Consider the following 23,472-nt stretch of genomic DNA (forward strand, 5'->3'; position numbering starts at 1 on the left):
ATTATTAAGTTTATGACTTCTAATTAATATTTATGATAGCATCAAATATTTATAATGTCAAATAATAATTTGAAGCCATAATCTTAATATCTAATAAACAATAATAATGTAAATAACAATTATAAACAACCATAATATTTACCTTTATGTTTACCTGCTTTATCAAGTACCTTGAGAAAATGAAAAAACTGATTCTTAGGTTTGCTCATTGTTTAGTCAGTCTCCCCAAAATGATTATTGAACCTTCTAGGTATATTATGCAGGAGCAAGTTATGCAACTTGTCCCAAGACTGAGATCATGGAGTTGCAAATCACAGCAGTCTGTGCATGTTCAGAAACAACTCTTACCTCTGTGGTAGACTGCTTCTGAGTTGGGGAATCATATGCATGTCTCTGATATGAAATTTGCCTTTCTTCAAAAATATCTGACTTCTGAAACTATATGAAAATCCTATTTTTGTTATTATAATCAGACACCTATTAGTTTAAACATATAGCTACCATGTTGCCATCTACATTAGTATTAAATATATAAGTAAATGGATATCTACATATACATTTTTAAGCACTTTTAAATATTGAACTATATGAAGTACTGACTGTATTCCAAACAGTGTTTCTTTAATATGTTAAGAATATATTTTAATAAATACTTTAGAACAAAATTAAAAGATGACTTTGTAAAGTATTTGTTACTAAGCTGTCTACTAGAATAAGTATCTTAGAAAGTTTTATGTTTTTTATTTTTTAAATTTAATTTTAACTTCTTGAATATTTTCCTTTGATAAACTAAATATTTTCTTCAAATCCATTAAAGGGTTTACCTAAATATCCTAAATTTTTTCATATACTCAATACGTAAAATGTTTTCCTATGAGGTACTAACAGTTTAATTCTGACATAAAAATGAATGTTTTCCATTAAGAAAAATAATGATGACATGTATTCTCAGAGTGTTTTTGGATTTTCATTTCTTTAGCGGAGAAAACAGTATCACAAATAATTTTAGAAAAAAATTTAGTTCACAATTTACTTTTCTGCCCCCAAAAATCCAAATACAATATTTAAATCTTAGCTTCCTAATATGCATTCAGGATATGCATAAAGGATATGCATATATTCATGGTATATAATTTTAATTTAAGAGCTCAATGAATATGCATGCTAATATAAGACCATTTGAATAACATACCTTGATTTCAATCTCTGAATACTTAAGTACATGTGACTTGTGTTGATTGAAATGGAGTATTAGTTTTGGTCACGTTCAAATGTTACCAGGAATATACACATGAGATAGGAACTCGGCAGACTTGTTTCACAAGTCACAGGTCACAAAAACCCTGCTGATTGGCAGGGCGCGGTGGCTCACACCTGTAATACCAGGACTTTGGGAGGCTGAGGCAGGCAAATCACGAGGTTAGGCGATCGAGACCATCCTGGCTAACACGGTGAAACCCCGTCTCTACTAAAAATACAAAACATTAGCTGGGCATGGTGGCAGGCGCCTGTAGTCCCAGCTACTCGGGAGGCTGAGGCAGGAGAATGGCGTCAACCCGGGAGGCAGAGCTTGCAGTGAGCTGAGATCGTGCCACTGCACTCCATCCTGGGAGACAGATCGAGACTCCGTCTCAAAGAAAAAAAAAAAAAGCCAGTCAACACCAAAATGGCAATGGAAGCAACTTCTGGTTGTCTTCACTGTGCATTATACACTAATTAGAATACATTAGCATACTAAAAGAACTTTCGCCAGCAGCCATAGCAGTTTACAAATGCCGTGGCAACTCCAGGAAGTTTACCGTATATTGGTCTGAAAAGGAGAGGAGCCCTTGGTTCCGTGAACTCTCCACCCCTTTCCCAAAAAAACTCATAAATAATCCACCCCTTGTTTAGCATATGATCAAGAAATAACCAAAACAATAGCCAACCAGCAGCCCTTGAGGCTGCTGTGCTCATGGAGTAGCCACCCTTTTATTCCTTTACTTCCTTAACAAACTTGCTTTCATTTTATACTCTCTGTTTGCTCTTGAATTCCTTCCTGCATGAAGCTAAGAACCTACATGGGCTGCCTGGCTGAATCACGATTTGGGGATTTGCCCTGTGACACATATAAATAGTTTTTGGATCCACAGAAGTTATCAGTGGTTGTATGTTATTCTCCTTCAGGATGAGGTAGAGTAATATGGGGGAAAACTATAGACTAGAGCAAAACTTCCTCCATGAATGAACAGATTTAGCTATGTGCTCTAGGATTAAGTCCATATCTGCAGACACTACTCAGTACTTAAAAGCCAACCTCAACATAAAGGTGGGCTCTTAGATGTGGCTCCTAAATTTTCACTCACAACACTGAGCGTTTTTATCTCTTCAGTTAATCTGCAAAGTTGTATGTATTCAAGCAATATGGCTAGGCAAGTTTTCTAAACTATGTGTTGTGTATAGTATCTATTTGAAGAGTTATGAGAAAAGTTTTAAAAATGAAGATAAAGAAAAAGAAAGCAAAAGAGAGAGAGAAATCTTTAAAGGTTAAATAGGTTTTTTCCATCAACATATTTAGGGAGCTTAGGGGTTGGCAGCTGAAAATCTATCATACTCACAGTTGACTTAATGTACCCTACTATGGGACCTGACACAGTAGATATGTAATAAATGTATGCTGAATCTTTTTAAAAAAATACTGAAAAATAAAGAATAATAGCCCTTCAAATTCTTACAAAGGGTTTCTTGTAATTTTAAAAAATGTTATTTATTTATTTATTTTTAGAGACACCCAAGATAGAGTGCAGTGGTATCATCACAGCTCAAACTGCTGGGTTCCAGGGATCTTCCCACCTCAGCCTTCCAAGGAGCTAGGACTACAGGAGCATACCACCAATGCCTGGCTAATTTATTTTTATTTTCATTTTTGTAGAGACAGAGTTTCACTATATTGCCCAGGCTTGTGTCAAACCACTGGCCTCAAGTGATCCTCCTGCCTCAGACTCCCAAAGCACTGGGATTATAGTTGTAAGCCACCCTGCCCACCAGGTTTCTTGTAGTTTTAAAAACAAATAAAGAGGCCAGCACGGTGGCTCACGCCTGTAATCCCAGCACTTTGGGAGGCTGAGGCAGGTGGATCACGAGGTCAGGAGTTCAAGACCAGCCTGGCCAATATGCTGACACCCCATGTCTACTAAAAATGTAAAAATTAGCCAGGCGTGGTGGCATATGCCTATAGTCCCAGCTACTCAGGAGACTGAGACAGAAGAATCACTTGAACCCGGGAGGCGGAGGTTGCAGTGAACCGAGATTGTACCACTGCATCCCAGCCTGGGCGATGAAGTAAGACTCCGTCTCAAAAAAAAAAAAAAAAACCCAACAACAATAACAATAAACAATGAATAGTACATATTACATGCCAACCAATTTTCTAAGTATTTTATACAAATTAATTTATTTAATTCTCACAACAATCTTATTAGAGATATAAGATTTATTTCTTTTTTCTTTCCATGATGAGAAAACTGGTTTATAGGGAGATTTGGTAATTCACCCAAGATTACGTCTAGACAACCTCTGTCTAGGGACAGTGCTCTTAATCACAACACTAATGCTATTTCACATATAGGACCCTGAACGAGCTTTCATCCAATTTCTATCAAAATTCCATCTAAGTGAGAGATTTTGTGTGTGTATCTGCATGCGTGTGTGTGTGTGTGTGTGTGTGTGTGTGTGTGTGTCTTGGAAAAAGGGGTGTTTGAGACATAGCCTATACCCATATCCCAATATCGGTGTTTCTCAATTTTTTTTTCTCTCTAGCATACCTGAAGTATACCCAATTACCCAATACTTCAAGAATTGGGTAGTGCATACCAGAGGTAATACTCCCTTAGGTGAGCGTGTTAGAGTCTTGAGGTGAAGATTGTGTATAGTAAGAAATCTGTCCCACTTTATTAGATTCTGCCCAAGTGAAATGTACCTCCCTTTTATTCTGTTTTCTCCATTTCAATGCAAATATGTTTTCTATAATCTAGAACTTATTCCTGGATCAAATAATATATTTGGATAGCATTGAGAATTATTTTTAGAATAACTGTGCACTACCTCTTCATACTAATATGTTAAATACTTTAAAAATGATATGGTTTGGCTTTGTGTCTTCACCCAAATGTCATCTCGAATTGTGATCCCCACATGTAGAAGGACCTGGTGGAAGGTGATTGGATCGTGGGGGTGGTTTCCTTCATGCTGTCCTCATGATAAAGAGTGAGTTCTCATGAGAACTGATGGTTTAAAGGTGTTTGGTGGTTTCGCCCTGACTGTCTCCCTCTCTCTCTCTCTCTCTCTCTCTCTCTCTCTCTCCTGCCACCCTGTAATATATGCCTTGCTTCCCCTTCATCTTCCATCAGATCATGAGGTTCCTGAGGCCTCCTAGCCATGCTTCCTGTGCAGCCTATGGAACTGTGAGTAAAGTCAACTTCTTTTCTTTATAAATTACCCAGTCACAGGTAGTTCTTTATAACAATGTGGAAAAGGACTAATAGAAAGAAGTAGTATATGAAAGTCAGCATTATATTTAGTGCAGGGATATTGAGCTGTAACACTGCATCATTTAGGCTCTCTTTTTTGAGAGAAATGTGTCACTCCTAAGTGCCAAGAAATCTAGAGCTTTCCTCTGATAATTGACATATTTCCTTTTGAAGATAATGTGAACTGGGCAATAAATCATATTTTATTTTTTTGCTTTGTCCACCACAAAGTGATATTTAAAACTTGCAACTCTTTTTATAAAAATAGCTTCACACCCTATTGACCTGCACAAATCTGGCCCAGCTTTCACTCAGTTTTTGGATTTCACTTGAATTCTTATTTTTTATTTTATTGTAGGTATTTTTAAAAGTATCCTTATTTTTTTAATGGAGCAGTATAAAATAAACAAACAGAATTTAAAATACAGAGGGTAGAAAAAAGAATAAATGCAGCAATTGAGGCAGTCATTCAAGGTCAGAAAATTGAAAATAAGGAGTTAAAATAGGCAGGCAATGGAAAATCCACAAACAGGCAATGACTGAAGGTCTAAGTTGGCATTCAAGCAGTCAGCCTGAGGATATCTGTCATCTGACTTCTAAAAGATTGGAGTATGGGGAAAATTACCAAAATAAGCACTTAATGCAGCTTATACCCAGGCTTAACAGCTAGCACATAAACTAAGGAAAAATCTAGGTGAGAAATCCAGCCATTCTTGATAACTCTCTTACCCTTAGCCCCCTGTCTTTAGGGCATCAGGTCTAGCTCATCCAGTCTGGAAGACCTATTTAATAGTAGTTTATTTATATCCATCTCCCAAAGGCAGAGGTCTCTTCAGGAATACCACAGTGGCCTCATCTTTGGTCTTTCTCCTTCTCTTGTCTTGCCTAATGAAATTATCACATTTTAGCCAGAGTTATCTTTTAAAAATAATTGGCATAAATATGTCTCTACTATGCTTATATCCCTAAAGTGCTTTCTAATTTCCAATAGCATGTTATCTCTGGGGGCTGATTTGACTTCTCACCTGCTTCATATTTTTGGAATGGGTCCTTTTACTTCCTGCCTTAGGGTTATTTCATATAGTGCCATTTTTTTGGGAGGGGGCGCTAGATTCCTGTCTTCCTTCTATCCCTATGCCTAGTGATTCTCTCTCATTATTTGCATCCCATCTCACATGGCACTGCCTTAGTGATGAATTCTGCCCTGACCTCTCAAGCTAGGGCAAGAGCCGTAGCTATAAGCTTTCAGAACACGCTGTACTTACGCTTGTCTTAGTGTTGTCTGTACCTCTAGCACCTAGCAGTTTCTGGCACACAGTCATTCCTCTGTAAACTGCTATTTAATAAAGAAATAAGTGACCAACAGCAAGGGTTATTTCACAGTAATTTTCATAAAGTTGAACCAAACATGTTAAATTCTTTCTAGCTAAGGTCAGAAAGGGCACTGGTGACAGAGTCATAGCTGAACAGGTTAGATATATTTTCAAGATTTCAGAGTTAAAAGGAGATGAGATCAATTGCTTCTGTAGCCACAATGAGACTGCAATCAGTTAATGGATGCCAGAGTTGGGAACTCTATGATTCTGGATGATAAGGTCAACATGTCATCCTAATAGCATCCCAGCTAAGAGCACTTGCATAGTTGATGCTTTAATACAGTGTGAAAGTATAGAATCCTCCTGAAACCTTATACCACTGAAAAATTGTCAAGTTATTCTTGAGTGATCTTTGAATCAGAATTCAAAGAAAAAGAAAGATTTTGGTCATTGAAGATATGAAGCAATCTTATGATCACCATATTGTCTTCATGCTCATTATTTTATGTGGGAGTTAATCTATGTTGGGGCAGAAAATAGTGTGAAAAGATGAATATTTAAATGCCATTATAGGTGTATATATTGTATTTATTTATTTGGTGTATTTTGTACTAATTTCATTAAATACGTTCAGGATTTCATTCTTTGGCTCAATGATTGATGCTACCTGCTGATTTTAAGAAATATTATCACATGTTAGTGAAATTGTTTTATTACAAAAATCGGAGAAGCCCATATAGAAAACTCAGAAACTTCAAAACACTAAAAATTACTCCAGTCATCCAAAAACCACTTGAGTTACTTTTCTGGCATCTTGCCATGTGTTTTCGAAAGGAAAACTCTTAACTTGAAAATATAACCTCAGAAAAAACAAAGAATACACAATCGAATGTAAGAGATAAGGGAGCTCAGGAAAAGGACCTGAGGCTGTGAACTCACTGCTGCTTGGCAGAAGCTGTGAATCAATCATACAGCTTGCAGGAGAGATGATTTTGTGATATAAAAATGAAAGACATTGGTTTAGTTAATTTGCATGAACTGTATATTTTCAATTAAACGTGGAACTATTTCATTTATTTATTTATTTTTTGAGATGAGTCTCACTGTGTTGCCCAGCCTAGAGTGCAGTGGCATGATCTAGACTTACTGCAACCTCTGCCTCCCGGGTTCAAGCAATTCTCCTGCCTCAGCCTCCTGTGTACCTGGCGCGTGCAACCACGCCCAGCTAATTTGTTGTATTTTTAGTAGAGATGGGGTTTCACGGTGTTAGCCAGGATGGTCTCGATCTCCTGAACTTGTGATCTGCCCACCTTGGCCTCCAAAAGTGCTGAGATTACAGGCATGAGCCACCGTGCCCGGCCTAAATATTGAACTATTTCACTACTACATGGCCATGGCCACTACAGTAACTATTCATTGATTTTTTTTTTTTTTTTTTTTTACATTTTACACAGAAGTCTTCCATCATAGAGACAAAATCTTAGTATGAATAGCACTGCATTTTGAATTGCTAATTTTCTTATAATAAAGTTCTCATTTTTAAAGTATTCTACATTATATGTAATCTATTTGTTTCTTTTCCTATTTTATTTATTTATTTATTTGGAGACAAGGTTGTACTCTGTCACCCAGGCTGGAGTGCAGTGGCACAATCACAGGTCCCTGCACCTCAAACTCCTGGGTTCCAGCAATTCTCCCCCCTCAGCCTCCCAAGTAGCTGGGATTACAGGTGTATGCCACCATGCCCAGCCTATTCTTTCTATTTTCAGTATTAAAACTTGAGACTGATTCCAACAACCTTAAGATTCTGCCCTGACCCATTAATAAGAATAAGAGAAATGGACATTGGTCACCATTTTACCTGATAAAAAACTGTTTATGCTTTTATTGATTAGTGGATAGTTACATAATTAGAATGCAAGAAAATGAGTGTTATAATTTCTTTCTTATTCATTGATAGTTTTTATTTTGTTCTGCTTTTACTGTCCTGAACATTCTATGTAATCAATGAGGCAAATTTCATAGATTTCCAATATCGCATACATATTTTAATACATTCTTAGAAATTTGGAATTCCTACAATTTATGTCACTGGAGTCAGAAATGTAATAAACTTACATGCTACAATATGTTTGTACTGATAATTTTGACCCATTTCTTTCTGAAATGAATAAGTTTCTATCCTGCCTTAGCAAGTAGGTGATTCTGAATATAACTTATACTTCTTTTTTATGATTGTGAGGCTTTTCCTCTTTTCCAAAGAGGAGATTATATATATATATATATATATATATATATATATATATATATATATATATATATATATTCCAAAAAGTATTCTATGCCACATCCTTTGAGGTTCAGTGCTATAATTATTTTCTCTATTGGTAGCAATGGCAATTTATCTTCACCCCTTTATTTCTAAATATGCTTATATCTTCCTCTTTCTAAACTAATCCTTTGGTTAGAGCCTCCACTTTTCTATAAATGTTGTTCAAGTTCTGCCTTCTTTGTTAAATGTCAAACATCCAACATTTATCTCCCTACAGGCTTCATGTCTCCCCCAAACAATTCAGAGAACCTTTTCTTGGTCTTCTTCATTTTTATCTGCTCTGCCTCCTCTTATGTTGAATTTTGAATGTCAGTAATAGAAACCAAAAATAGATATTTTTATACAATATTGTACAGTTTGTGCTACACAATAGCACAAACCCCAAATCACAGTATTTTATAAAACTTATTATAATCATAAAATGAACAAAGCTATTATTGAATTAATCTATATGCTCCTACTGATAGCAATTTTAAAACAAGTTCACGAAAGGTAGAGTACAAGGACTTACACACCTTAGATATGTCAAAAATTTCATAAAGGGACTTTTTATTGTTTGAAGCTTCATTGTAATTCTGTTTTATAATATTAAAATAAATTTTAAACAGAGGTAATGTAAATTTACATGGACCTTTCTCTCTCTTTCATTTAGCCATGAATATAATTATTGCACTCACTAATTGATGAGATGTCATGTCTGATGCTAAATTTTCTTATCACTCTATCCTTAATAATTCTGATTGAGAAGAGAATGTTTAGTAGTCTATTAATTTGCTATTCAGTTATTTGGACACTGAACAATGTAACCATTTAATAAAGTTTATGTTCCAATTTGATTATGACTTTGCCTTATACAGAGTATCCCAAAGGATAGGTATTCTGAAGTAGTGCTATAGGAAGAATAATAGTATTATTGATAGAAAACAGAAAGTTGAGATAGAAGGCTTTTTTAAGTTCTAGCTGTAAAAAATTTAGGACTATGGTGAGATATTCAGTGTCAATATTCTCGAAAAGGTTGGAGATATGTAACAAAAACGTATAAAAGAAGGCAGAGATAAATATATTTTAGCATTATCAGTATACAGCCATTACTGAGGATCAAAACAAGAGAAGAAATATAGAGAAAGAGCATCATTTTTTCTTTTTTTCTTTTTTTTTTTTTTTCATTTTGAGACAGAGTCTCACTCTTTTGCCCAAGCTGGAGTGCAGTGGCATGATCTCAGCTCACTGCAAGCTCCACCTTCCGGATTCGTGCCATTCTCCTGCCTCAGCCTCCCGAGTAGCTGGGACTACAGGCTACAGGCACCCGCCACCACACCCGGCTAATTTCTTTCTTTTTTTTTTTTTTTTGTATTTTTTAGTAGAGACGGGGATCATTTTTTCTTTGAGCTTCAAGAAATATCCATATTTGGAGGGTTAGTGCAGAGAGAATGCAAAGGGACAGACAGATAATGACTAGTCAGGTGAAAGGAAGTTTAAGAATATGAAATTTTAGACCAAAAAAGGATCATATTTAAGAATAAAGAGTTGGTTAGAGGTAATGAATTCTGTAGCAAAATTTACAGGAACTAAAGCCTAAAAGTGCACATTTGATTACTCCATAGAAAGTCCAAGTTATATTTAAAGTATACGTTCATATGGTTGTGGGTGAATAGCCAGATTGAGAAGATTAAGAAGAAGAGGTTATAAAATAAAAAGTAATTGGCACAGAACACTAAATTGAGAATTTTGCGGAAAAAAGTTCATATTTTTGCCTTTGAATGCTGTATCACTCTGTCACCCAGGCTGGAGTGCAGTGGCGCAATCTCGGCTCACTGCAACCTCCGCCTCCGGGGTTCAAACGATTCTCCTGCCTCAGCCTCCCGAGTGCCTGGAATTACAGGCACCCACCACCACGCCCGGCTAATTTTTGTACTTTTAGTAGAGATGGGGTTTCACCATGTTGGCCAGGCTACTCTCGAACTCCTGACCTCAGATGATCCACCTGCCTCGGCCTCCCAAAGTGCTGGGATTACAGGCGTGAGCCACTGCGCCTGGTCTTTGTGTCTTTCTTTTCCTATCTTTCTTTTCTGATATTTTAAGTCAGTATATCTGACTAGGGAACTGGGTTGACATTACCTGTGTCCTGACAGCAATGGAAGCTGGAATCATAAAGCTGGAGTTCCTTCTGACACATGAAGTATGTTCAAGAGATGATTGAGAGCTAAAACAGGACAAAAAAAAAAAAAGTCCACCATTACATTTTATGGATCATTTCTGTTTTGAAGGAGTATAGAGCCTATTTTGAGGAATAGTGTAAAATTGTAAAAATACAGTCAACTAGTTAAGGAGAGTCTTAAGGGTCAGACTAATGAATTGAGACTGCTTGGCAAAAGAGTGCTTTCATGGAAGCAAACAAAGTAATATTGCATTCTTTCCAGAAGATTAATTTGGCTACAATATATGGAAGATAAATAACAATGGGATCAATTAAACTAGTTCAGAAGTATTTGCAATATCGAAGTCAAGATACATCATGAATCCTGCCTCTTCGGTCCTCGTGGCAGTAGGATTGAGAAGAGGTGGGGAACAGGACCATGATATATATACTGTGCAAGTAGACAACTGATGTGAGACCATGTGAAAAATACCATAGTTTGGTTGACTATGTTAAGTACCTGAGAAGAAAGGAGGGCAAGGGGAATTCGATTTTTGACTTGATAGAATTTACTGTGGAATATTCAACATTCGAGTAAACATCAGTTTTGGGGAACAGACATTGGCAGGGAAGAAGAGAGTAGTAAGGCAAGCTTTTAAAAATATAAATGTTAGTATTGAAATTCAGAAGAGACACTTTTTTCTCTGAAACTAAATGATAGAACAAGAGCTATATGTGAAAAAAGTAATCTACTGTGAGTTTGGGAGAAATTTATCTGAGGAAGTTCACACTGGAAATTATTAAACAATGTATAAATTGGAGATTTCAAAAGAATATGTAAATATTGATATTGCTTTCTTGGGAGTGTGCAAAAAAATGAAAAAAAAGTATGTGAATTAAATAATGTTTTGCAATAGTGAGTTCCCAGTAAAAGATTAGTATCATGATTGTTTTTAGGGGAATTTGGCTTTATGCATTTAAGTCTTTATTCCCCAAGAATTCATGGTCTAGCCTGGCCCGGAAACAGGGAAAGGGAAATAAAACTCTGGAGAAATCTGAAATTGCGATAGATGCCGTGGTGGAAACCAAGTTTTTGATGAGTCCATTCTAATCAGAGGTTCAAGATCTGTGTGAACTGGCAGGATTGAGGAATAGGAGTTGATACTGGGAATAAGAGCAAGTTTAGTGAACTTGAAAGGAAGAAAATGTAAAAGGTGTATCATAATGCAGAGAAAGTACCTAATTCAGGAGTTCTATGTCATGTCCGTGCAGATTGGATTACGATATAGATCTTGAAGAACATAACAGATGTCAAGGAAAGGCGTTATTAGGTAGAAGATGACTGGCAGTAGGAAAAATAGAATTGAAATGATAATGAGGAATACTAAAAAAGAAAACAAATAATCCAGGTATTCATTTTTTGTCAACCAAAGGGGTCACATTTTGGAGGAATTTTGGTGTTTAGTAGGTGAGAAGGTTTATAAAACCTCTAGAAGGATCATCATAATCTCACTTGAATTTGAGGCCTCAGAGGGAAAACTGAGCTTGCAAAGCTGCAAGCACACAAATTTACAAGGAGTATTATAGGCTTAAATAGGATGAAATAGACAGGGTGAATGTTAATAAATTATTGTTTTGTGGTTTAGAAATCTACCTTTTTCCTCCCTCTCCTCATCTGCTTTAGCAATATGTCTCCTAAATGATGTTGGAGCCAACGGGGATATTAGTTTTAAAATCATTCTTTTACATTCCATGTTCTTTTGCTCTAAAATGTCTATGTGTAAAATCAGGCCAACTTGTACATATCTGTTGAATTAGCGTATATTCTTAAATTTTAAATGCAAGACATTTATATGATCTTCATTCAACAATGGCTGTTTTTCTGTTTGATATGCCTTCCCCATTCTGCCTCTCTTCCATTCTAAATATTGATATCAACAATGTTGAAATTGTAGATAAAATTAATGAAAGCTATTTTCTCCATTCCTTTCTAATTCTTCCACCAAATACATATGATGTCTCCCTCTCTTGATCTTGGCTAGCATTTATCAATAATTTTTATACTTAACATATGTTTTATTTCTTATCATTGCTATATCCCGATTGTTGTGCACTTTTCTTCTTTGCATACTAAATTGTAAATTGACTCCTCTTTGTATTCCCTGTAGTGCTTAGCATGCAGTTTTATAGAAAATAAACACCCGTATTTGTTTGAAGATTTGCTATTATAGTGACTCTAGTTTTTCATTTGATCCTGTCTTCTTTTTGTTTATTCAACTATGTCATCTTTCAGATTATATTTTGTATTCTGCAATGTATTAACATAGTGTCATCCATTTTCTTTATATGTCTTCATAGCTTTGGGAATAAGGTTTTACATACACAAAAGATAGTTTTTGTCTATAGTTATATTAACTCACTGATTAATTTACCTTTGAATTTTTCTACTGCTTGTAATATTTGATAAAAAGAATTGCAGTAAAAATTATAGTAATTGTAGTTAGCTTCAAATTGTAGTTAGCTTCAAATTGTAGTTAGCTTCAAAGAACCTGAAATAACAGTCTCTTAAATGATCTCAAAGACCTACCTGTCTCCTCTAACAAAGAGAAATATTGTATAAATCATGAACATCTAAAATTAGCTCATAAAATGTTTTTAAAAAAGAATATGTTCTTAGATGTCATTTTAGATAAACAATTTTAATATAATAAAATTTTAAAATGACTGAAGTATCTATTACAATAAAGTAAATAGTGGTCCTATAATAAAGTGCTTAATGGAATATATTGCAACAGAAATATTTCTGGAAGAAGTATTTAATAGTAATTTATTTCATAATAGCATAATCTTGGCAAAATTTCTTATTATAAATGCCAAGATATATAAACAGAAGTGTTAATATTCATTTGAAATTATTAAAGCAAAACAAACACATTTGATATTATACTAAAATGTTATCTATGCTGTGTCAATGTAAACATTGAGCTATTTGTTCATGTGATATTAGACTAATTTTTGTGTATGTAGTTTATTTATCCACATGCTTTTACACCTAATCAGGCTGCAGGTGCAATAGCAAAACATTAGTGAAAAAATAACGTCAGAACAACAGTTCTTGCTTATATTTGTAAACAAAATATGAAACCCCAAACTCTGAAACTGGTACTGTTATTTCCGTTTTTCAAATGAGAATAATTAAGGGCCCCTCAGTGAGGTGTGTCACAATTCGGGTTCACAGGAAGAGAACTCTGAGACAAAATTTACAGTGCAACACAGTTATTAGTAAGTGCCTTGGAACTGGCCTCTGTGGAAGAAAAAGGAATGAAGTAAGATTAGGCAGAGGTGGCTCACGCCTGTAATCCCAGCACTTTGTGAGGCCGAAGCGGGCAGATCACGAGGTCAGGAGATCGAGACCATCCTGGCTAACAGGATGAAACCCCGTCTCTACCAAAAATACAAAAAATTAGCCGGGCAAAATGGCGGGCGCCTGTAGTCCCAGCTACTCAGGAGGCTGAGGCAGGAGAATGGCGTGATCCTGGGAGGCGGAGCTTGCAGTGAGCCGAGATTGCGCCACTGCACTCCAGCCTGGGTGACAGAGCGAGACTCCGTGCCAAAAAAAAAAAAAAAGACTAGGCAGAGGGAGAGCTCCAGTTTTAAGGCTGGACAATTTTAGGAGACATATCAGGGAACTTCAGAGCTAAAGTGGACCTGTAAGAACTGTCCCAGGATGAGCAGAAATGAAAACACTTACAGTCGTTGGATGTACCCGCAGGAAGAGTGTGAATTGGGAGAAATTCTTCAGCTCAAACAACCCCTTAAGGGCTAACAGCTGTAGGCTTCTGCCAATAGCACTTTCAACAGCTGGAGCATCACGTTTTTCCTTGAAGGAGGATCTACACTGAGTGTCTCTCTGTTCATCACAAGGTTGCTGGACCAAGACCAGATATGTTTATTACTCAAGTCTCGTTTTTATTGTTTTGTTTTGTTTCGTATTGTTTTACCACTATGCTCCAAATCCCTTCTCTTCCTCTCCTTTGTAGATCCTGAAACTCACCCAGTAAATTGAAAGCCTCTAGCCTCAGTCCATGGCTCCTTTTGGCAGTACCATAGCTTCTTTTTCACTGTCCTCCACTGAGCATGCCTCAGGACTATACAAAGACAATGATCCCCACATTTACGAAGCCACTCTACTGAGCTGTACTTTGAAGATTTGTACTTTCAGTTTGAGAATACTTTAGCTATATTTATCTGTTGATTTATTCAAGTAAATTAACTATTATTCGCCAGCAAATTGCAAACCCCAGTTTGGGAATAGAATGAAGCGGAGAGTGGAATGGTCCTGATTCACAGAGGTTTTTCATTTCATTGGTTCTTTAGATTGATCACAACACTCGTTCTTTAGATTGATCACAACTCCCTTGTTTCTGGGAATGATCGGACCACAGATTTTGTCACTACCCACTTCTACCCTCAAAATTATTCCTTCTTACGGGCGTCCACCAAAGTCTAAAGCCTAGGAACCTGTACCAGGAATTTTCTGCCTCAAATGAAATTTCTTTCTCAACCTATTTGTGCTATGGTGGTTAAGGATCTTTTTTCCTGAATTTTTGATGATGTGCTCCAACACACCACTCTTTCCCATGGGACTCACTGGTGTTTATGTAAATGAAATTTTGGTTGATCAAGGTGCCCACCAAATGTGGACTTGCCCAGATTTCTGGTGTGTTTTATTCTTAGGAACCCATTCTGGGACCACAGATACCTGGATATGAAGAAATGAATTGATAGAATATTAGAATAATTGCAAGATAAACATTCCTGCTGTGGTGGCAATTGGCTGTTGACACTGAAATTTTTAATTGCATTTTTAGAATTTCAAAATTGGTAAAAATGTGTTGCACACGTGATGCTAGGAGAAGCGGGCCTTGCTGTTATTCACTGTTTCAATCTTTATACTTGTAGGAGTAGCTCTGTTATACAATTTTGGCCAGTGTCTGCTGAGAAATTTCTGGAAAATCTTTCTCTCCCCTGATAACATATCCAGATATCGGAGATACAGACCCCTCCTCTTAATTCTTCCCTTAAATGCTGACATGATGCCTTGAGCTGAGGTAGCCATCTTGTGACCAAGAGAAGAAAGCTAAATTAATTTCAGAGACTCTGATCCTGATATTGTTATATAAGCTGTGAAACCAACACCAGCAGATCGCTACCTTCAGTCCTCTTGTTATCGGGGAAAACTAAACTGAGTTATAGCCACTGTTGGACTGGTATTCTGTTACATTATGATTAAAATATGCCTGTTATAAACAATGGTGTGTAAATTTAAAATGGCATGTTATAAATTTATAAGGAGACACTTAACTATCAAATCAAAACACTTATTTCAACATAATGAGTTCCTTCTATTTTTATATATGGGAAAATCAGATTGTAAACTGCTTGGTGAGTATGGATTTCAAATAAATGGATTTCATTAGTTAAAGAAAGAAAAGTCTAATGGCAACAGATTCAGATCCACCATTTCCACAGTAGGAATAGCTTTGCCTATGGAGTAAAACACTCCAAATCTATTGGATAGGAATATGTTTACTCTGAACTGTGCTAGGATGAGCCCTGAGTAGTTTTCCTAAACTACTTTTTCTTGACTCTTTTTCTAAATTGGTTCCAGGACTTACTAGTTGTATAATCATGGGCAAGTTCATTTTCCTGTATGTCCTACTTTTAATATGTTAATAAGCATATTTTTGAAATAGGATTTGTTTGATTATTCAGTGAAAAATATTTGAAAAGTTCAAATATTGCCTGGAATGTAGTAAGTGCTCAATGATTTTAGATTTATTTTATGACTAGCTAATTCTTCTTAAAAACATGTGTTTTCCCTACCTATCTTAGTATATTCAGCCAAGATAGAATGAGGTCTTGTGACCTCAGATCCATTTTGATTTTTTAAGGTGGTTTGCATATTTTTGCTCTGATTAATTATGCATTGTTATAATTAAAATTTAATTTAGGAAGGAATCTTTTTTCGACACAACTGTCTCTCAATTTAAAATGTAGATAATTTATGTGTTTTTGAGAAAAACAGAGAGAAAGAATACTATTCACATACATATATAAATATATATTCCCTCTTAAATTTTGATACGATCCAGTATAAACAGTCATGGGGTTGAGAATCAGGGGCTTGTATTCAGGGTAGTTTAAAAGTTCTTCTGAGTATCAAAGACATTATTTTTATTTCATTTATTTATTTATTTAGAGACAGAGTCTCACTGTGTTCCCTGGGCTAGAGTGCAGTAGTGCAATTTTGACTCACTGCAACCTCACCCTGCTGGCCTCAAGTGATCCTATCACCTCAGCCTCCCAAGTGGCTGGGACCACAGGTGTGTGCCACCATGCCCTGCTAATTTTTGTATGTTTTATACAGATAGGGTTTCACCATGTTGCCCACACTGGTTTCAAACTCCTGAGCTCAAGTGATCCACCCACCTCAGGCTTCCGCAGTGCTAGGATTACAGGTGTGAGTCACTGCACCCCATTTCAACGAAATTATTGAAACTCACTATCCATAATAGCCTCTTGCAAAGTGCTTCCTACCCAACATTATTTCCTTGTCAATTACTACGCAGGTTTTCTGAGATTACACTCTTAACTCATGAGGTTTCTGAGCACTTTGAAAACCTCCCACAAAACTTTTAAATAAAATTATGATACAATTTAAAAATTTGAGGAGGCCTCCAGATGAAAAATCCTGGGAAAAGATATCACATATTGAGCCAAAATAGTTTTCCCCTGCATTATTAAAAAAATTTTTAAAAGTTGATCAACTTCTTGCTTCAAATTAATGAGCACTCATTCAGAACAATAGGACACAATCTGTCAAGATTAAATAAACAACTAAACTGTAACCTCACTGAATAGAGCAAGGGTTTCATATTTTAAAATCTAAACTCTTAATTGAAGTTAGAGAATTATATAGAGACTGCTGATGGCTAATGCTATCTGAATCTTTATTGATATTAAGGGTGATTTTATTTCATTTAGTTGTGATGTTTATATTCACCATTTCCAATAAAAAGGCTATTTACACTTCATATTCATGGAAATAACAAGAATGAGGCAAAATATTTTTTTCTTTCCAATACACTAGATTTTAAAATAATTTTGTTTTAACCACCTTAAAATCCTCTACCATTTTCAATAAAACCAACCATTCTACTGAAAGATGGGGTCACTTTACAATTTGGGGGGAAATGTTTCAGTGTAATGTAAGCATTTCTGATAACTCCATTGTTTTAAATTTAAAGATCCTGTTGAGTCCATTTGTAGACTGCTCATCAGTTATTAATATCTTTGGCGAAAGATATATGAGCATGTATAAAGGTGGTTATAATAATTATGACAGTGTTTGATGCAACAACAAAATAGCTATCAATGTTTTAACACTATGATTCAGAAAATATACTAAATAATTAACATATAATTCTCTATTATTTGGCCAACAAATGAAGTAATTTCATTATTTAAATTATCTAGATAAAATTGAAGCTTTGGGGGGTTAAGTTATGGGGTGAAATTTCATCAGAAACTAATTTAAACTCAGATATTTTTGACTTCAAAATCTGTGTTTTTAACCAACAATAATTTATAGTATTTATTTATATATATGCAAAATGAATAAACAATTGTATTAGTCCATTCTCACGCTGCTATAATGACACACCCAAGACTGGGTAATTTATAAAGGAAAGAGGTTTGACACACAGTTCAGCATGACTGGCAGGTCTCAGGAAACTTACAATCATGGCAGAAGGGGAAGCAAATATGTCTTTCTACACGTTGTGGCAGCAAGCAGAAGTGAGAGTGAAGGGGGTGAAAAGCATCTTATAAAATCACCAGATCTCATGAGAACTCAGTCACTATAATGAGAACAGCAGGGAGGTAACCAACCCCATGATTCAATTACCTCCCACTGGGTCCCTTCCATGACATGTGGGGTCCCTCTCGTGACATCTACAGTTCAATATGAAATTTGGGTGGGAACACAGCAAAACCATATCAACAATTATACATTTTCATGTTAATTATATAAGTAGCTAATGATAAAAATTGAAAGTATAATTAGGTGTACTGGTTCTATTAGCCAATTTCATATTATTGAAACAAATATATTTTAGAGTCATCATACTTTCTAGAATTAAATATATTTTTCTCACACAGTTTCCTTCTCAATTTTTCCCTACTTCCATTCAAGTTGTTCAAGACAACCTCAATATTAATAGTGCAAAGTGCTTTCAAATTTTCTCTTATCTTCTTCAACATTGAGAAATAAATTTTATAATCCCCATTTTACAGATGAACATCTGCTTTCCAGAATTTAGTTGTATATCCAAGTGAAAACTTCATCATAACTTACTATGATAGAAATGATAGAGATTTTAGAATTCAGGAGTCTGACTTTAAATGAAATTTAGTAAAACAAGAACTGCTTTTTAAGTTACCACAGATGATATTACTGAAGGTTTTGCTAGTGCAAAATGTGTATCTTTATTTCCCCAGCCTCTTTTAGCAGCTTCCTAACTACTTGTCATTGATTTGCTAAACAAATTGCTGGTTTTTACTATTGGTGAAAACGGTCCCATTTCATTTTCTAATCCAATATCTGTGCTTCTCAACAAAGCGCAATATCTATGTTGCTCAATAAAGCCCAAATACCAGTGGCTTAATATTTGAAATGTTTATTTCTCATTGAGGCAACATTTGATGCCTGCCAGGTGTCTCTGTTTGGTGTCTTTCTTCTCAGCACTGACTCTAGGATTTAAGCTATTTCCATCTTTCTTCTTCCATGCCTTCAGGAGAAAATGGTTGTCAAAGTCAACATGACAGGCGAGAGGGTTCATAGGCTCAGTAGGGAGTTTTAAATGGCTAGAGAAGTAAATTTTTTAATATTTTTTTCTGTCTACCTTACAGATGACCAACATAATTACAAGGGTAACTAGAAGAGCACATGGAAATAGTCTCTGTCACAGCCTTTTATTAAAAGATCTTACTAACTTTCAAAATCAGATAAAACCCATAAAAGAACAGTACTATCAAGATAATAGAAATAATTTTTAAATTAATTTTATTTTTAATTGACAGATTATAATTGTATATATTTTGGGGGTACAAGGTGATGTTTTGCTATATGTGTACAATGATTAAATGATTAAATCAAACAAATTCACATATCTAGCACTTCATTTACATACCATTTGTTGTAGTTAGACATTTGAAATTTACTCTTATAAATTTTGAAATATAAAATACATTATTATTAACTATGATCACCCTGCTGTGCAATAGATTTCAAAAATTTATTTCTCCCAGCTGCAACTTTATACTCTTTGACCAACATTTCCGCATTCCTTCCTCCATCCTTCAGCCTCTGGTAACTACCATCCTACCCTCTACTTCTATGAGTTTGACTTTTTGGGTTCTACATATAAGTGAGATCATGTAGTATTGTTTTTTTGTTTTGTTTTGTTTTTTACAAGTATTAGCTATTTTTATTGTACTAATTTTGAAGTTTCTTTTTTTTAATTATACTTTAAGTTTTAGGGTACATGTGCACAACATGCAGGTTAGTTACATATGTATACATGTGCCATTTTGGTGTGCTGCACCCAGTAACTCGTCATTTAACATTAGGTATATCTCCCAATGCTATCCCTCCCCCCTCCCCCCACCCACAACAGGTCCCAGTGTGTGATGTTCCCCTTCCTGTGTCCATGTGTTCTCATTGTTCAATTCCCACCTATGAGTGAGAACATGCGGTGTTTGGTTTTTTGTCCTTGCGATAGTTTACTGAGAATGATGGTTTCCTGCTTCATCCATGTCCCTACAAAGGACATGAACTCATCATTTTTTATGACTGCATAGTATTCCATGGTGTATAAACTAGTTCAACCATTGTGGAAGTCAGTGTGGTGATTCCTCAGGGATCTAGAACTGGAAATACCACTTGACCCAGCCATCCCAGTACTGGGTATATACCCAAAGGATTATAAATCATGCTGCTATAAAGACACATGCACACGTATGTTTACTGCGGCACTATTCACAATAGCAAAGACTTGGAACCAACCCAAATGCCCAACAATGGTAGACTGGATTAAGAAAATGTGGCACGTATTTGTCTTTCTATGCTTGGCTTATTTCACTTACATTAATGTCCACCAGGTTCATCTACGTTGCCTCAAATGACAGAATTTCCTTCTTTTTTAAGGCTGAAGAGCATTCCATTGTGTATAAAACATTTTCTTTTTCCATTCATCCATTGATGAAAACTAAGGTTGATTTAATTACTTGGCTATTTTGACTAGTGCTGCAATGAACATGAGCATCGTGATTTGGCACAGTCATTTCAATTTTATTTTTGGATATATAACCAGAAATGAGATTACCCGATTATATGTAATTCTATTTTTAGAATTTTTGAGAAATCTGCATGCCATTTTCTGTAGTGGCTATATTAATATACATTTTCATCAATAGTGTACAATAGTTTTCTCCATATCCTTGCCAATACTTATATTTCATCTTTTTGATAATGGCTACTCTATAACAGCTATGAGGTGATAGACCACTGTGTTTTTAATTTGCATTTCCTTGATGATTAGTGATGTTGAACATTTTTTCATGAGCCTGTTGGCTATTTGTACATCTTCTTTTGATTAATGTCTGCTCAGGTTCATTGCCCATCTTTAAGTGGGTTGTTTGTTTTCTGGCTATTGAGTTGTTTGAATTCTTTATATATTTTGGATATGAATCCCTTATCAGATGTGTGATAGGCAAATATTTTTGCCCATTCTGTGGGCTGTCTCTTCAGTCTGTTGTTTTCTTTACCATGCAGGAGCTTTTTAATTTGACGCCATCCTATTTGTGTATTTTTACTTTCACTGCCTGAGCTTTTGGGGTCATATCAAAAAATTTATTGCCGAGACCAATGTTATGGAGCTTTTTCTCTATTATTTTCTAATAATATTATGATTTCAGGTCTTATTTTAAGTCTTTAATCCATTTTGAGTTTACTTTTTTGTGTATGGTATGATGCAAGGATTCAATTTCATTCCTTTCATGTGTATACCAGTTTTCTGGACACCACTTATTGAAGAGACTGACCTTTCCCTATTGTATGTTCTTGGCTCCTTTGTCAAAAGTCAACTGATTGTAAAAGTGTGGGTTTAATTCTGGGCTTCTCATCCTGTTCCATTGGCTAATACATCTTTTTTTTTTTAATGCCAGTGCTATAGTGTTTTGATTACAATATAATTATGATATATTTTTAAATCAGAGTGTATAATGCCTCCAGTCTTGTTCTTTTTGTTCAAGATTGCTTTGATTAGTCAGTATTTTTTGTGGTTTTATAAGCATTTTAAGATTGATGTTTCTAGTTCAGTCCAAGATGTTATTGAAATTTTGATAAAGGGTATATTGAATCTGCAGATTGCTTTGCGTAGTAGGTACTTTTAACAATATTAATTCTTCTAATCCTTGAAAACGGGCTATCTCTTCCTTTATTTGTGTTTTCTTTAATTTCTTTTACAACGTTTTATGGTTTTCAGTATATAAAACAATTTTATACTGGAAAATTTGAGACCTATTCCATGACACTTTACTAAGTATGTCAAAGTACAATAATAATTTTGCCCATTTATGCTACTAAGCAGCTGCAGTCACAAGATTAACCCTTATTAAACTGGCTTTATAAAATCATGATTTTATGCCCAGAAGAGAGAGGTCAAGGTAATGTAGTAAAACAAGCATTAGAAAGTTGTGGGATCTGGGTGATAAGTCCAGATGTAGCTGTGATCTAACCTGACGTATCTTATAACATTTCTATACCTCACTGTCTTCATGTTTGAAGTGAGAAGAGCAGCTGATGCATTGTGTTGCGTTATCTCCAGAATTCTACGGAATTCCAGAGGGAAGGACAGCAATGCTCAAAGGCATAATAAACTCTGGTGCTAGAACTTCTTGGTTTTGATCCTCACTTAACATTTATTACCAATGTGAATTAAGAAAACCTCTCATGTATCTCAGTTTTCTTATCCACAAAGTGTTCCTGCACACATTTCTTGAGAGGATTAAGTTATTTAATACATGGGAATCATAATGCCTAGAACATAATATTTAATAATTTTGGCTATTTTTTTCATCTGCAATAACCTCTGAAAGGAAACTTGGTGGCTTGTCAGAAGTAAAAAAGTTATTTGGGAACAAAACAAGTAATGTAATTCTTTTTTTTTTTTTTTTTTTTGTTGAGACAAAGTCTAGCTCTGTTGCCCAGGCTAGAGTGCATGCAGTGGCACGATCTCGGCTCACTGCAACCTCCACCTCCCGGGTTCAAGCAATTCTCCTGCCTCAGCCTCCCAAGTAGCTAGGATTATAGCGTGCACCACCACACCCAGCTAACTTTACTTCTTCCTGTTTCTACTAGGCAATACTATTAATAAAAATTCTAAATATTTCCATAAAATCACTATTAAAGAAATTTTTTTTCTATACAAGATATTGAAAATGAAAACATAATCATTTCCAAGTATAGGAAAATATTTATGAGTTTCCCTGAAAAATATTTATGTACCTCTTACTGTGGAGAGAGTATATTGAGAGCTTCCCAAATTCAGGCTTTAAGAATATTATTGAATATATTTGCAGAACCAGCTACAAATTTCAGACCTAACATTATAAAAAGTTAGATTTAAAATGTGAAATACACAATCCTGTTCATGGTGACATGTAGGGCAATTACAGAGACTGTTTTGTTTTGTTTTGTTTTGTTTTTCTGGCTGCGAACACGGTCCCATTCCTTTTAATTTAAAAAAATCCTCATGTTTGAGCAGTATTTTTTTCACTTGCCTAGCTAACCGAAAACAATTGCTACTAATAACCTGTCATCTTTTAAAAATAAACATGAAGTATTTATTTTACAGAAACTAAAGGGGAAAAACACATTTATTTTAATGACAGTTGCTTATCATATTTCTCACTTGCTTCCTCATTAAATTTTCCCAGCCACCCTCAAGAGGGGATTATTATTCTCTCTGTGGTTCAGATGAGGGAACAAGGCTCACAACCTCACATCGCTTGTGCATGGCAGATCCAAGATTCATTCAACCCCAAATGTAAAAT

The 23,472-nt window shown here is 35.3% G+C and overlaps 1 long non-coding RNA gene across 5 annotated transcripts in view; it reads left to right on the forward strand.

Annotated features, from left to right (window-relative positions):
- Positions 1–23,472, forward strand: part of LINC01322 (long intergenic non-protein coding RNA 1322) — a 332,490-nt gene that overhangs the window by 134,136 nt on the left and 174,882 nt on the right. For 2 of the 5 annotated variants that reach the window (NR_174098.1, NR_174099.1), the window contains exon 2: positions 4,389–4,442. The exons of the other annotated variants lie outside the window; for them this stretch is intronic. This is a non-coding gene — a long non-coding RNA (long intergenic non-protein coding RNA 1322). The remainder of the gene's footprint in view (positions 1–4,388; positions 4,443–23,472) is intronic. 5 annotated transcript variants of the gene reach the window in all.

Source organism: Homo sapiens, chromosome 3 (assembly GCF_000001405.40).
Source record: "Homo sapiens chromosome 3, GRCh38.p14 Primary Assembly".
NCBI lineage: Eukaryota > Metazoa > Chordata > Mammalia > Primates > Hominidae > Homo > Homo sapiens.